The sequence below is a fragment of the Homo sapiens genome, chromosome 1 (genome assembly GCF_000001405.40).
Source record: "Homo sapiens chromosome 1, GRCh38.p14 Primary Assembly".
Lineage (NCBI taxonomy): Eukaryota > Metazoa > Chordata > Mammalia > Primates > Hominidae > Homo > Homo sapiens.
Genome location: NC_000001.11, coordinates 166,990,868 through 167,007,058, shown reverse-complemented (window position 1 = coordinate 167,007,058; position 16,191 = coordinate 166,990,868). Strand labels below are relative to the sequence as shown.

General features: G+C 36.1%; 1 protein-coding gene and 1 pseudogene across 6 annotated transcripts in view; both read right to left on the bottom strand.

Moving 5' to 3' along the window:
• Positions 1 to 16,191, bottom strand: part of MAEL (maelstrom spermatogenic transposon silencer) — a 46,633-nt gene that overhangs the window by 15,156 nt on the left and 15,286 nt on the right. For 4 of the 6 annotated variants that reach the window (NM_001286378.2, XM_006711583.2, NM_032858.3 and 1 more), the window contains 6 exons: positions 15,582 to 15,681; positions 14,218 to 14,373; positions 12,990 to 13,031; positions 2,755 to 2,879; positions 1,929 to 1,983; positions 1,662 to 1,803 (listed from right to left, as the gene is read on the bottom strand). In NM_001286378.2, the coding sequence (NP_001273307.1) occupies positions 1,662 to 1,803; positions 1,929 to 1,983; positions 2,755 to 2,879; positions 12,990 to 13,031; positions 14,218 to 14,373; positions 15,582 to 15,681 (620 nt within the window). The remainder of the gene's footprint in view (positions 1 to 1,661; positions 1,804 to 1,928; positions 1,984 to 2,754; positions 2,880 to 12,989; positions 13,032 to 14,217; positions 14,374 to 15,581; positions 15,682 to 16,191) is intronic. The other 2 variants (XM_011510068.2, XM_011510067.2) reach the window with 1 other exon arrangement.
• RNA5SP65 (RNA, 5S ribosomal pseudogene 65) lies at positions 982 to 1,100 on the bottom strand (annotated as a pseudogene).

Here is a 16,191-nt window from a genome sequence, read left to right as displayed (position 1 = left end):
TAATTGACTCAGGCAAAAATCAGCACTTGATACTAAAATTTGTATATGAAAGTTTGAGGAAGAGAATACCTACCCAATTTGAAAGTATTTCCCCACAAAATATTTATTAATTATATGGTAAAAAGCTGGGAGCAGTGGCTCACGCATGTAATCCCAGCACTTTGGGAGGCTGAGGCGGGTGGATCACGTGAGGTGAGGAGTTCAAGATCAGCCTGGCCAACATGGTGAAACCACATCTCTACTAAAAATACAAAAATTAGCTGGGCATGGTGGCGGGTGCCTGTAATCCCAACTACTCGAGAGGCTGAGGCACGAGAATCACTTGAACCTGGGAGGTGGAGGGTGCAGTGAGCTGAGATTACACTACTGCACTCCAGCCTAGGTGATACAGCAAGACTCTGTCTCAAAAAAAAAAAAAATGTATATATATATATATATATATATATATATATATATAGTAAAAAACCAGTAACTTTCCAATAGAGAAATATTGATAGGTACTATATTAAACAAGTGATCAAAGTTATCATCATCAGTAATTGGACAAACTGACATCATATACCTCCAGATATGACACACTGAGCAGTCAGTCACATAATCCCTTCTGTGGTATTCCTGCCAAAAATGCATAATCTCAATTTAACCATGAGGAAATACAGATCAACTAAAAGTGAGAAACATTCTATAAAGTAACTGGCCTGTACTCAAAAATGTCCAGATCATGAAAGTGAAAATAAGACTGAAGAACTGTTCCAGATTAAAGAGATATAATAACTAAGTGCAACATGTGGTCTTGGACTGGACTCTAGAATTTTTTTGGCTGTAAAAGACACAGTGGAATAACTAATACAATATGAATATGGTCTTCGGATTAGATAATAGTATTGTGTCCTATATTCAACATTCCTGATTTTGATCATTACACTATGGTAATATAAATGTTCTATACACACACACACACGCACGCACTCACACAGTAAAAGCCTACAGCACCCAGTATTCCCAGGCAGTCTCTCATCTAAGTACTAACCAGGCCAATCCCTGCTTAGCTTGTGAGATCAGACAAGATCAGGTGTGTTCAGGGTGCTATGGCCGTAGACTAAACATTCTTATTCTTAGGAAACACATATTGAAGTATTTAGGTATAAAGAGGCATAATGATAGCAACTTACCCTCAAGTGGTTTTGAAAAAGTGTATATATATTTAGAAACAAAATTATAAAGAAAATGTATTAAAATGTTAGCAATTAAGGAAACAGAGAATAGTAAACTTTGTGTTATTTTTGCAACTTTTCTGTAAGTCTAAAATTATCTCAAAATAAAAAATACTTTTGCCAATTTATTTCACTTATATATTCTTTTACATGTAAGTACAAGAGTTCTATGTAATAAAAATCTGTCTAAATAAATTTAGGGATATTCTCTCATCAGTATAGAAATTCTAAGTGATAAGAAAGAACAGTTTATTTGGCAGGTTTGTTTTTAGTGATACACAAGTAACAATATATCTTACTATCAATGAAATTTTATATTCAGGGAAATACAATGATTCCAAGCTTTCATGGGAAAATATTGCATAAAAAGGCAAAAATAGTCCTACCATATTTTCTCAGTCTAGAAAATAAGTCAAAATGACTCTAAAACAAAAATGCTAGCAATACCTTGTGTTGCTAGAATAATCCCACATGGCCACATCTAGGAGGCTTCGAATCCAAGTCTTAGAGGGCTCCTTGAGAAATTTTTGTTGGTAGATCCCCACTACAAGGTCCTCTACAGTGAGAAGTTGTAGATCTTGCCTGATTTCTTCCATTAGTAAATGGAAAAACACATACAATTAGTAAATTTAGATACCTGGAAGATATCAAAGTGGAAACAAATACAGATATTAACTATAAAGCACTTCTGCAGCAACCCAGAGTTTTACTTACCTGATGCCTTTGCCATATGCTTCAAACACCAGTTGACTCTGGTTCTATCATCAGACTGGAGAAAGCAAAAAACAAAAAACAAAACAAAAAAACTACTTGTATCTTCTCCTACTTTGAATGACTTCTAATGCTGTCCTTTCAAAATGTGGGGGTTGGGAGGTAGGGGGCACAGGAGAAAGACTGAGGAGTTTGTGCCAATGAAATGAAAACTATAAAAAATTGACATATATTAGAAAAGACTACAGCTATTATTAGTCAGTTACATTTATACAGAAATGTTAAGATACTTTATGAGAAGCAAGAGAGACCTAGGGTATGCAAATGAAGAAACCAATGTTCAGAAAAAGATCAGATAATCACTTCACGGTTATACTAAGTAGCAAGGTTAAAACCCAACTTTTCAACTCCAAGCCTGGAAGAATATAATCTCTCTAAATATTACAAACAAAGAAGGAAGGGATTGCTACAAAGACAGTTTTGAAGAAAAGGTATTCTTGTTTCGAAAGATAGGTGTACGGAATAGAATGGAGCATCCATTCTTAAGGGTAAAAAGATACTGTAGATATTTCAGAAAGAAGAACTCAGAGAACATGAACTCTACCAAAATAGATATATGTTTAGCTTTTGCAGTCTTCAAAATCCCTCCAAAATTGGAGACATTTTTAAAATAGGCACTATACCTAATTACATTCAAAACAATTCAAAATGAGTGTGTTTTAAGACACACAATATACAGACAAAAATACACAGGCAAAAATTCTTTGTTTTATGGATCTTTTGGTACTATAAATTGATACCTTAAAAGAACTTCTTAACCTGAAATTACCTTGCAGTAGATAGGTGGCCAGTTCCCTGGGTTGGGATGAATAAATCTATAAAGGTTTTGTAACACAGTTGCTTGGTTATGCCCACGTTCAAAATTTGAAATAGGAATCTTGTGACTAGAATCACCTGAGGGAAATAAAAAGGAGAAGTTCAAACTTTGAGCAAGATAAATATTATGGGGTAGGTATAGAAGTGGGGGTACAAGAAGAGAGTAGTGGGTAACACACAGTTAAGTACTTGTACAAAGCCCCGTTTTTGTTAAGGATTTTACATATTTTAACCCACAGTCTTACAGCCATTCTATGATTTGATTTGATGTGTGTGTGTCTGTGTGTGTATGAGAGACAACTGAGAATCACAGAAATCAGTAAGTTAATAATTGGTAAACAGTTGAGTCATGACTTAAACCCAGGTTTGTTCAGTAACCAGGCCTGCGGTGTTTTACTATTCCCATGCTGCCTTTCATAAATTTTGTATTAGTAAGGCTTGAGAACTTAACAGTAATGACTGCTTTATAAAAAGTTATATGATGACACCCACTTCACATGAAAAAAAGACCAAGTAATTTAGACCAACTTTCCCACAGAAAATAAAAAAGCGTGAGGATATTAAGATCACATAGAGCATTAAGGAATTAATGGGTTAAGATTAGAGAATATATCAATTCAGAGCGGTGAGATTAGCTTTAGGGAAGTTTTTCCTCTGGATCATTTGCCAATTCCAGAAGAGGAAGCTGAATGACTGAATAGAGTGCTTTTAACAGCTTCTAGGCCTGGCCTTCTAGGCCCCCAGGTATCTTAAGCAAACACAAACCCTTTCCAGAGGAAGTTAACATTATCATAAGTCTCAAATGACTCTGAAATCATTACTTCCACCAAATACTCCATGAACAATCAGGTACACAATAAAACAAGAACGAGAACAAATATATAGTTGACAGAAAGATACCCACAGGTACTCCAGATTTTGAATAGACAGATTTTACATAATTATGTCTGAGGCGATCAAATTACCAATTTTAGCATAAAATTGTTAATTATGTATAAAGATTCAGGAAGCCAGGTGTGGTGGTGTGTACCTGCAGCCCCAGCTACTTGGGAGGCTGAGACTGGATCAATTGAGCCAGGAGTTTGAGGCTGCAGTGAATTATGATCATACCACTGCACTCCAGCCTGAGTGAATGAGCAAGAACTCCATTCCCCTTTACTCTCCCCCAAAGAGATGCAGGAGTTGTTCAACTTCTAATGATAGATTAGGGAAAAGCTGAACAAATAAAACACCTTCTTCAAAGACCCGCAGAGACAAAAATGCGGTGAATGAATCATGGGCCCAAAATCTTGGAAAGGAAGAAATCTTAGAGAGCTGAATCTGGCAGTTGGGTTTGTTTCTTCCCAGGGCGTTACCAATTCTGGAAGAGGAGATTTAGAGGCTGAGAAACAGAACAGAGTTTCCAATAAACTCAGAGCTGGTAAGAACTAAATATTTTATTGCAATATTACTTACATAAAAATTTATAATTAAAAAAATATTCCATTGTCTTCTGGCTTCCATTGTTTATGCTGTGAAGTCAACTGTAAATTTTACTAATAATCCTTTGGTGATTACCTGTCCATCCTTCCCCCTTTTCTAGTAAAGGCCAACTACAAATTAACTTTTGTGATGTCTGAAACCCAATTTAAAACCACCTCAATCCATGAAAATGCATTAGGGTAATCTGAGATGCTAGTGACTCCAGCTTTCTGACAGACACAATCATAAATCTTCTTTGGAGAGAAATAACAAGATTTCATATACACTGTTTAGCACTCGAAAATAACTAGACATATGAAGAGATTCTGTTAGCTTGACTGAACATCACCATAACCAACAGACTATAAAATCAACTCCAAAAAGAAGATCCCGATAAGAGGATTATCCAACATAACACTTTTAAAATAACTAGGCTTATTATGTTTAGGGAAATTAAAGGCAATATTAGTAATTTCTGTAGAGCCATAAAAAAGAATCAAATTCAAAATCTTAAAATCTATTCCCAAACCCATTTTATAATGGCAAAATAAACTTGATAATAAAATTAGATAATCTGTCTTTAACATAAATGGAAAAGTCCTAAAACAAAATAGTAACAAACCAAACTCGGTATATTATATGTAAAATATATAGTGACCACACTGGGTTTGTTCCTGGAAGACAAGGTTCGTTTAACACTAGTAAAGTACCACATGAGGCCGGCACAGTGGCTCACGCCTGTAATCCCAGCACTTTGGGAGGCTAAGGTGGGCAGACCACTTGAGATCAGGAGTTTGAGATGGGCCTGGCCAACATGGCAAAACCTTGTCTCTAATAAAAATACAAAAATTAGCTGGGCGTGTGACGTGCACCTATAATTCCAGCTACTCAGGAGGCTGAGGCACGAGAATCACTTGAGCCTGGTAGGCAGAGGCTATAGCAAGCTGAGATCATGCCACTGCACTCTAGCCTGGGTGATGGAGTGAGACTCTGTCTCAAAAAGTAAATTAATGGCCACATGAACAAAAGATAAAAATCATATGACATGCAGAAAAAGCATTCATTAAAATGTGCAACTGCTATCTCCCTAGCCAGATAGGGAATATAAACATATCTTGGAGATGCTGTGGGTTCAGTTCCAGACTGCCACACTAAAGCAAGTATTGAAATAAAGTGTCACACAAATATTTTGGTTTCCCAGTGCATATAAATGTTATGTACTCTAAAGTTATGACTATATTAAGTGTGCAGTAGCATTGTTTTAAAAATGAACATACCTTAATATAAAAATATTTTATTGCTAAAAATACGAATGATCACCTGAGTCTTCAGTGACTTAACAATCTTTTTGCTGGCGAAAGATCTTTTTTAAAAAATGTTTTTATTTCCGTAGGTTTTTGGGGAACAGGTGGTATTTGGTCACACGAGTAAGTTCTTTAGTGGTGACTTGTGAGATTTTGGTGGACCCATCACCCGAGTAGTATACACCGAACCCAATTTGTAGTCTTTTATCCCTCACCTCCTTCCCACCCTTCTGCCCCCAAGTCCCCAAAGTCCCTTGTGTCATTCTTATGCCTTTGCATCCTTATAGCTCAGCTCCCATTTATGAGTGAGAACATGTGTTTGGTTTTCCATTCCTGAGTTGCTTCACTTGGAATAACAGTCTCCAATCCCATCCAGGTTGCTGCGAATGCCATCAACTCATTCCTTTTTATGGCTGAGTAGTATTCCATCATATATATACACACATATATATACTACAGTTTCCTTATTCACTTGTTGATTGATGGGCATTTGGGCTGGTTCCACATTTTTGCAATTGCAAATTGTGCTGTTATAAACATGTGTGTGCAAGTTATCCTTTTCGTATGACTTCTTTTCCTCTGGGTAGATATCCAGTAGTGGGATTGTTAGAATTTTCAAATGGTAGTTCTACTTTTAGTTCATTAAGGAATTTCCACATATTTTTTCCCATAGTGGTTGTACTAGTTTACATTCCCATGCTGGTGGAAGATCCTGTCTTGATGTTACTGGCTGCTGACTATCAGGGTCATGGTTGCTGAAGCCTGCAGTTGCTGTGGCAATTTCTTAAAATCAAACAATGAAGTTTGACACACTGACTGACTCTTCCTCTCATGAAGAATTTCTCTGTAGCATGTGATACTGTTTGATAACATTTTACTCACAGAACTTCTTTTGAAATTTAAGTCAATCCTTTCAAACCCTGCTGCTACTTTACCAAGTTTATGAAATATTCTTAGTCCTTTGTCATTTCACCAGTGTTCACAGCATCTTCACTAGGAGTAGGTTCCATCTCAAGCAACTAGTTTATTTTCTCACCCATAAGAAGCAACTCCTTACCCATTCAAGTTTTATTGTGAGACTGCAGCACATTTTCAGGTTCCATTTCTAATTCTAGTTCTCTTCTATTACTTCTTCCACTGAAGTCTTGAACTGCTCAAAGTCATTCATGAGAGCTGGAATCTAATCCTTGCAAACAACCTTTAATGTTGATATTCTGACCTCCTCCAATGAATTATGTATGTTCTTAATGGCATCTAGAATGGTGAATCCTTTTCAGGTTTTCCATTTACTTTGCTTAGATTCATAAGAAGAATCACCATTTATGACAGCTATAGCCTTATAAAACATATTTCTTAAATAATAAGACTTGAAAGTTGAAATTACTCCTTGATCCATGGGCTACAGAATGAATATTGTGGTAGCAGGCATGAAAACATTAATCTCTTTACATCTCCACCAGAGCTCTTGGATGACTAGGTCTAATGTCAATGAGCAGTAAAATTTTGAAAGGAATCTTTTTTTTTTTCTGAGCAGCAGATTTCAACAGTGTTCTTAAAATATTCAGTAAACCATGCAATAAGCAGATGTGCTGTCTTCTAGGCTTTGTTGTTCCATTTTTACTAGCACAAGCAGAGTCAATTTAGCATAATTTCCTAAGAGCTCTAAGATTTTCAGAATGGGTAAATGAGCCCTGGCTTCAACTTAAAGTCACCAGCTGCATTAGTCACTAACAAGAGAATCAGTCTGTCCTGTGAAGCCAGGCACTGACTTATCCTCTCTAGCTATGAAACTCCCAGATGGTGTCTTCTTCCAACAGAAGGTGGTTTCATTTTCGTTGAAAATCTGCCATTTGCTGTAGCCACCTTGATCAGTTATCTTTGCTAGATCCTCTGAATGACTTGCTGCAGCGTCTACGTCAGCACTTGCTCCTTCACTTTGCACTTTTATGTTATAGAGATGGCTTCTTTCCTTAAACCTCATGAACCAAACTCTGCAAACTTCAGACTTTTATTCTGCAGCTTCCTCACCTCTCTCGGCTTTCACAGAATTGAAGAGAGTTAAGGCTTTGTTTTGTATTAGGCTTCAGCTTAAGGGAATGTGGTAACTGGAGAATGTTGATCTATTCTGACCACTAAAACTTTCTTCATATCAGCAATGGGGCTGTTTCACTTTCTTATCATTGGTTGTTCACTGGAGTAGTACATAAATTTCCTTCAAGAACATTCCCTTTGCATTCACAACTTGGTCATTTGGCACAAGAAGCCTAGTTTTTGGCCTACTGCAGCTTTTGATATGCATTCCTCACTAAGCTGAATCATTTCTAGCTTTTGATTTAAAGTGAGAGACATGCAACCCTTCCTTTCACTTGAACACTGAGAGGCCATTGTAGGGTTATTAATTGACCTAATTTCAATATTGTTGTGTCTTAGGGAATAGTGAGGCCCAAGGAAAGGGAAAGAGATGAGGCAATGGCCAGTCAGGGGAGCAGTCAGAACACATACAACATTTATTAATTAAATTTGCCATCTTATATGGGCATGGTTCATGACACTCCAAAACAATTACAATAGTAACATCAAGGATCACTGATCACAGATCACCATAGCAAACATGATGATAATGACAAAGTTTGAAATATTGCGAGAATTACCAAAATGTGACACAGAGAAAAGTAAGCACATGCCACTGGAAAAATGATGCCAATAGACTTGCTCAATGCAGGGCTGCCAGAAACCTCAATGTGTAAAAAAATGCAATATATGCAAAGTGCAATAAAGTGAAATGCAATAAAACAAGGTGTGCATGTAGAGGGAAACATCTTTATCCTGATAAAGAGCACACACCAAAAACGGGGGTGGGGAGAGAAAGAAGAAACTACAGCAAATAGCATACTCACTGGCGAAACACTAGAAACTAGAGGTACTGGTCAGCATACTAAGACAAAGCAAATTTTAAAAATTTTAAATGAAGATATGTAGATTAGAAAGAACAAAGTGATTTAACAGATATGATTAAGTAATCTGCTAAAAACTCAAGAGTTTACCAATGGGTGGGACAAAACCAAAATATAAAAGTAAACAATTAGAAAATATAATTTCAAGGGATATCATTTGTAACAGCAACAAAAGGCATGATAAACTATAAATTTAACAAATGATATTCAGATTGTTAATGGAGAAAATTATAAAATTTTATTGAAAGATATTACGGATCTAAAAAATAAGAGGGAAGCCCCATGTTTACAAATATAAAGATTCAATATAATGAAGATACCAGTTTTCTCCAAAATGACCTAATGTAAAACATGAAGAACTGATTCTAAATAGTGTATGGAAGAACAAAGGGTCAAAGCAGCCATGATATTCCAAAAGAATGAGGTCGGGGGCTTATCTATATCATCAAACTACTGTGTTTAAGAATATGATATTGACAGCAAAAAAGTAGAACAGAACAGAATAAAGAGAACAAAAGATCCTCCTACACACAAACAGAAACATGATATGATACAGGTGGCACTACATATTGGGGTACAAATTGATTATTCAATAAATGATGCTGTGATAAATGATTATCCACATGGTTAAAAATTAAAGTGAATCTCTCCCTCATACTATACACAAGTCAATTCCAGGTAGAATAACAACTTGAATACAAAAAATAAAGCTCTATAATTTTTAGAAATAGAGATTATTTTCACAACCTTGGGGTAAAGAATTCTTGAATAAGACACAAAACGCCATAAATGATAAAAAATATCGACACATTTACCAAATTAAAAATAAAAACAAGCTGGCACAGTTGTGCATGCCTCAAGTTCCAGCTACTCAGGAGAGTGAGGCAGGAGGATCACTTAAGCCCAGGAATTCAAGGCTGCAGTGAGCTACGACTGCATCTGTGAACAGCCATCATGCTCCAGCCTGGGCAATAAAGCAAGACCCCATCTCTAAAAATCAAAAAATGTTTAAAAAGTCTGTTCATTAAAAGACACCATAAAGAGAGTAAAAAATACAAGACACAAACTGAAAACAGGTATCTGCACACAATTTTTAAAAATCCATCAGCAGATAAGATAAACTTCCTCAAATCAGTAAGAAAAACAAATGATTCAATAGAAAACGAGTGAAAGATATTGAGTTAAAAAACACAGGAAAGGAAATATATATATCACGCTTGTACAACCCACGGCATGCAGGCCTCATGCGGCCCAGGATGGCTTTGAATGCAACCGAATACAAATTCATAAACTTTCTTAAAACATTACAAGATTTTTTTGTGATTTTTGTTTGTTTAGCTCAACAGTTATTATTAGTGTTAGTGTATTTTATGTGTGGCCCAAGGCAATTCTTCTTCCAATGTGGCCCAGGGGGGCCAGGCGTGGTGGCTCACGCCTGTAAGCCCAGCACTTTGGGAGACCGAGGCGGGCAGATCATGAGGTCAGGAGTTCAAGACCAGCCTGGCCAACATGGTGAAACCCTGTCTCTACTAAAGATACAAAAAATTAGCCGGGCATGGTGATGCACACCTGTAATCCCAGCTACTCAGGAGGCTGAGGCAGGAGAATCACTTGAACCTGGGAGGCGGAGGTTGCAGTGAGCTGAGATCATGCCACTGCACTCCAGCCTGGGCGAGGGAGCAAGACTCCGTCTTAAAAAAAGAAAAAATGTGGCCCACGGGAGCCCAAAGATTGGGCACCCTGAAACATACAATATGTTAATTACATAAATGTTGAAACAAGTAAAATTAAACACATCATTTAAACAAATATGTACATGTAGTAAAACTATTCAGAAAAGAAATACACAAAATTCAAACGCAAAATTCAGAATCGTAATTTTCTCATAAAGAGGGAAGGGAATGCCATCAGGGAGAGATACAGGGACTTTCAATGGCACTGGAAATGTGCTATTTTTTCAGTTGACTTGTGGGTGCTTTTTTATTAATGTTCGTTATACCTTAAATAAATGTTATAATCTGTTCTGTGTGTAGAAGCTTCCTTTGAAAAGCTGATGGACCTTTTGTATAGGAAGCTGAAAGCAATTTTCAAAATTTTGATGTTTTAAAGCAGAATTTCTCTCAAGAAAAATCATTAACCAGTAAATTGGAGAGAAGCAGAGCTCATCTGGTTAAAGTGGGGAAGGAGAAGCACCAGGACCTCCTATACTCTCACTCATAGTTCATAAAAGATCAGACAGCACAGGAGTATTTGAGAGATCCATATGCATGTTCCTTAAATACCACTCAAATTCTTCACATCCACATGTAAATTTGTTCCAGTGTGTTACTATACAAAACATGGTCTCCTCCAAATCAGCTCAATTACATTAGCATAGGCATTTTTAGTTATTATGGTGACAGGTGTGACTCTAATAGTCATTTTTATCTTATTTAATTGGCACATTTCCCGGGATTATCAAATTGGCAATTTAAGACACACTCAAATTGGTAAGCTCCAAACATTTTAAGTTTCCTGGAATGAGAAACATTGTACTCAGTTTTGACTAGGTTGAATAATAAATTAAGAAAACATTTCTAGAATCTTTAATAGATTTTTTTAAAGAACCATGCTTTCTGTTAATCTGATTAATTTGAAAAGGTTGTAAAAATAGGTCGTCAAAAATAGATTTTTAAGAAGGATTTAACAGAATCAAAATAGCAAAGGAACAGTAAGCCAGTGACAGTCTCAGAAATGAATGTCTGGCACATAGTAGGGATTCCAATGCATTTAACAGATGAATAAACCTGAAACAGAGTCTAAGTAAAACTTGAAAATTAATTCACCGGCTAAGTTTCCATTTTTTTTTTATTTTTTTTTTTTAACTGCCATCTAGTTCAATAACCTCAGATGATGTAACAGTTGGGGATATTAGCTATGTTCACACTTTAAAGCAAGTACAGAATTTTTCTTCCATATTGTAATTACTTTCCATTCAAAGCTATATAAGAAGGAACTACTGCCAAGCACGGTGGCTCACGCCTGTAATCCCAGCACTTTGAGAGCCTGAGGCAGGCAGATCACCTGAGGTCAGGAGTTTTGAGACCAGCCTGATCAACATGGAGAAACCCCCGCTCTACAAAAAATACAAAAGTAGCCGGGTGTGGTGGTGCATGCCTGTAATCCCAGCTACTTGGGAGGCGAGGCAGGAGAATTGCTTGAACCCAGGAGGCGGAGGTTGCAGTGAGCCTAGATCGTGCCATTACACTCCAGCCTGGGTAACAAGAGCATAAATCTGTCTCCAAAAAAAAACAAAAAAGGAACTACTAGAACAATTCTCCCTTACATTTCTTATTCCATAGCCTACAGCCCTGATTCCAGTCAAACAAATAAAGAATTAGTACATATTAAGAATTCAAAATATACAACCAAATATAAGTCCAAAATATGTTCATTTATAAAGAACAGTGTTGTAAGTATTATAGCTGCTGGTTGTGGCAGATTTGAAAAACTTATTTTTAATTTCAAACACTTCTAGAGGCTAGCTGTCCACGTTTCTAAGCAAAAAAAAAAAAAAAAAAAAAATTACTGGGTGGGCACGGTGGCTCATTGCCTGTAATCCCAGCACTTTTGGGAGACCGATGTGGGCGGATCACAAGGTCAATAGATCGAGACCATCCTGGCCAACATCGTGAAACCCTGTCTCTGCTAAAAATATAAAAATTAGCTGGGCACCGTGGCATGTGCCTGTAGTCCCAGCCACTCCGGAGGCTGAGACAGAAGAATTGCTTGAACCAAGGAGGCAGAGATTGCAGTGAGCCAAGATCACGCCCCTCCACTCCAGCCTGGTGACAGAGCAAGGCTCCGTCTCAAAAAAAAAAAAAAAAAAAAAATTACCTTACAGACAGGAATCATTAAATAGTCCCTATGCACTGACACTTTTAATATACATTTAAAAATAAACCTATTCCGATTTTCATTCTATTTAAGCAGAAAATCACTTAAAACCTAATTCCCAGAAAAAGGGTTTAGTTCAAGGGCTTAGATATACACAGTCATGCCCTTTGGTTGCAAAATACTTAGAAAACTGTTTTCCTTATCTAAAAAATTCAGAACTCGTTTTATTTTTGAAGTATTAACTTATAAAACACAATTGAAATGGATGTCCCTGAAAACAGTCCTAAATCTAGATAATCTGAGACCTCTTAAAAGGTTTTCCTAAGTACCCAGCCACTAAGAACAGCCAACCTTGAGGTCAAAGGATATATACAGAAAATAAAACAATTCCCTGAAAAGAAAAGGGACAGTATACTATCAGTCTATAAAAAATTTAAAGATCACAGACACCATCTATCACATCTATGCAGATTCTCTAACAATAACCTAAAGTTATTTTCCTCTTATTTTATAGTTTGTGTGTAAAAGGAATAAGTCTAACCAGGTATGAATAGATTCAAGTCACAAATCCTACCCCATTCCTTTATACTTACTTGCAGCCTGACAATGAAATCGAAATCCTCGTGGAATTTCACCTATAATACAAAATATCTTGTTGAGAAGCAAAAATTTTAAAGTTCTCTAGTGCTACAGTAATACTCTACAAGATGACCAAGTTATCACACAGAAAGGTAATTTTTATTACATGAAAATACAAAAGATTAAACTTTTATAGGGTTTATTTTTAACCAAAGGTATGAAAACTGTTAAAGAATTTGGTATATTGTCTAAGCTACTTTTAAAAGTAAGTTACTCCTTACAGAGAAAGAAATGCTAGATAAAGAAAGCATGTGTCAAAAGAGTCTTAGCTCCACGTCCATGAATGGGCCTCAGGGGGTCATAAGGGCATTGATACAGCAAGGTGTATATGCGTTTCTCAGAGGAAAAACAGTCCCCAAATTCTATCTTTTTAATATTTTACAACCCATGTGGGGAAAAGCAGCTCTTTGACTTGTCCTAAGTAGCAACACTCACAAGTGTGAGTAGGATGATTAGCTTTTCTGTCATCTAAAAATGAGGAAAAAGTGCTGGGATGTCCTAATTAATTTTAAAGTAATTGATAATTGACAAAACTAAAAATGAAGTCATGTCCCCAATCTCTTCTCCCTATATATTTTTCCTACTTACCTTCAAGGGTATCAAATCCTATGTCTTCATACCTACCTTGCTTTTTAATGGGATGGAACAGTAGGAAGAGATGCTGATAATATCTGAGAGCTGATTAAGTATTAGGCTATTTCCATATTTGTCATCTATTCCTTAGAACAATCCTCCAATAGATATTATCCCCACTTTACAGATGAGCTAATAGGTTCAGAGGGGTTAAGTAATTTCTTCAAGGCTACAAAGCAATAGCAGCTTAAAAAGCTAGTCACCACTGAGGTGAAGGATGAGGTAGAAAAAGAAAAGATCATGGCATACACGGCTTTTAGAAAATCCCAAGATGTAAGGCCATAGGTAGGTGAATAGCAGGCTATGAATTGTTCAGATAGTCTATCCATCTGATTTTAATGGTAACTTGAGGTTAAAAGCCTAAACCAAAAAACCCTTTGTCAACACCTAATTCCTAACAGTTTTTCAATAAGCATTATGAAGTCTTGTTACATTAAGAACACAGCTGTACATGAGCTTGTAAGAAAAAGTACTATTATCAAATAAAGTCAAGATTTAAAAAAAAAAACCATACACGTTTAAGATCTAGCATCTACTCTGACTACTTACCAGGATTTATAAAACTGTGGAAATCTGCCATAATACCTTCTTGGAGAGAATACTTAACACAGCCAATTTCACAAGGGAGGAAGCGCTGTTCACAATGAGGAGGTAGCTCGCCATGGCTAAAAATGTTCAAAAAATAAAAAATGCCTCCAAGGAGAGCTAAAAAAAAATTGTAAGATAAAATGAATAAATGAATGTCTCAAATTTACCTCTTCCACAAAAGCCTCTTTAGTTGAAGGGAAAAAATGTTTTAGAACAATTTTCTTTCTGTTCCTATATTCCTAAATGAGCTGGAAAAGAGAAAACCAATCAGCCGTACCAAATAAAGAAATCAAAATTCTTATAATTACAATTATCAAGGATTAAAGTAACCACTCTTTGCATGAAGCAACAAAATTATTCCAACTTGCAGCCAGCTCTACATAATTCGGCCATAGATAAGCCCTGAATCTCAGGAATGACACAGAGCAGTGACCCATATTCAACAAATATATAGGTCTGGGAAACGAAGCTGAGCAGAATCAATGTAGAAAGATTGTAATATAAACTATGAACAATTCAGTTCATTCTTTTTTCACTTTTTACCAATATATATAAAACCACCTATAAATCCTCTAAAGGAATAAAGGAATGTGAGAATGTGTGAAGTGTTATTTACCAAGACTGGACACATTTAAGACTGTTAAAAGTTTACCAGTGTTCAACAAAGGCAGAACACAATAAAAACAGCCAGAAGGAATAGCAACAACCCTTATTAACTATGTTCTCTTCTTGGCAAGTTCCATAATTCATTTGTATCTTTATAAGCCCCCTCCACCACCCAGGATTTTTAAATATTTTATTCTTAATTGACAAATAATAATTATATACATATTTATGAGGTACAATGTAGTTTTGATACATGTATACATTGTGGAATGATTAAATCAAGCTCATTAACATATCCATCACCTCACTTTTTGTGGTGTGAATATGTAAAACCTACTCTTACCAATTTTGAAACATACATTAACGTAGTCATCACACTGTAGAACAGATCTGAAAACGTTCTTCCACCTGTTTACTTTTGTTTTTAACTTAAGTATATTTAAGTGTCCAATTATAAACAAGTCTAAAAAATACCTATGTTTAACAACATATAAAGTGGTAGAAACAGAGAACAGATTTTTGTTAAAAAAAAAACCACTCTCCTATTTTATTTCAACAAATTACCTAATCTTTTATAATGTCAGTACCACAATATTTAACACTTGCAGTTATTTACTTTGAAACGGAGGATCAAAATGAACAGAAAATATTTTTACTGACAAATATAGTGTTTTGGGCACTCAAATTTATCTCAGCAAAATATTTCAGGATTACTCTACCTTGATCACCTTTTAAAGACAAAGCTGACATATCTGGAGGTGAAACATTCTGCTTTGGTACAAGCATGCCTGGCCTCCTCAGTGGTGTGAAAACAGGTTTCTAAAGAGGAAGAGAATGATTGGCCACATAAACTCTTGCTGGGCACTTTTAGACCATACATTAAAATTTAGCTAAATAACTGCAAAACAGCCTATAGATTACCAAGGTCAATGAATCCAGTGAATAAATATATCTGTCAATAATACCAACACCCAAAGGCAGAATAACAAATTATAAATATTCTGAATCAGAAGGGGAGTGGTAAATAACCAATGCCACTACTACTGAAAGCCATTTTGCCCACTACTGATTATCCAAGGTAATCATCCTGAGCCACCTACTACATGCCAGGCCAGTGGCCAAAAGCACACTATGCCCCAAAGTACTCTAATTTTGCTTGTTTTTCACTTAAAGTCAAAACCAGATTATGTTGTCTCCAAGTCTCACATGAGGTACACATACACCATAGCTTTAGTTTTGAGGAGAGATATCTTGTAAGAATAAGGCTTGCAAGTATAAGTACAAGCTCAACTGAGCTTCTACTCATAAATCCACAAAATAAAACTATCT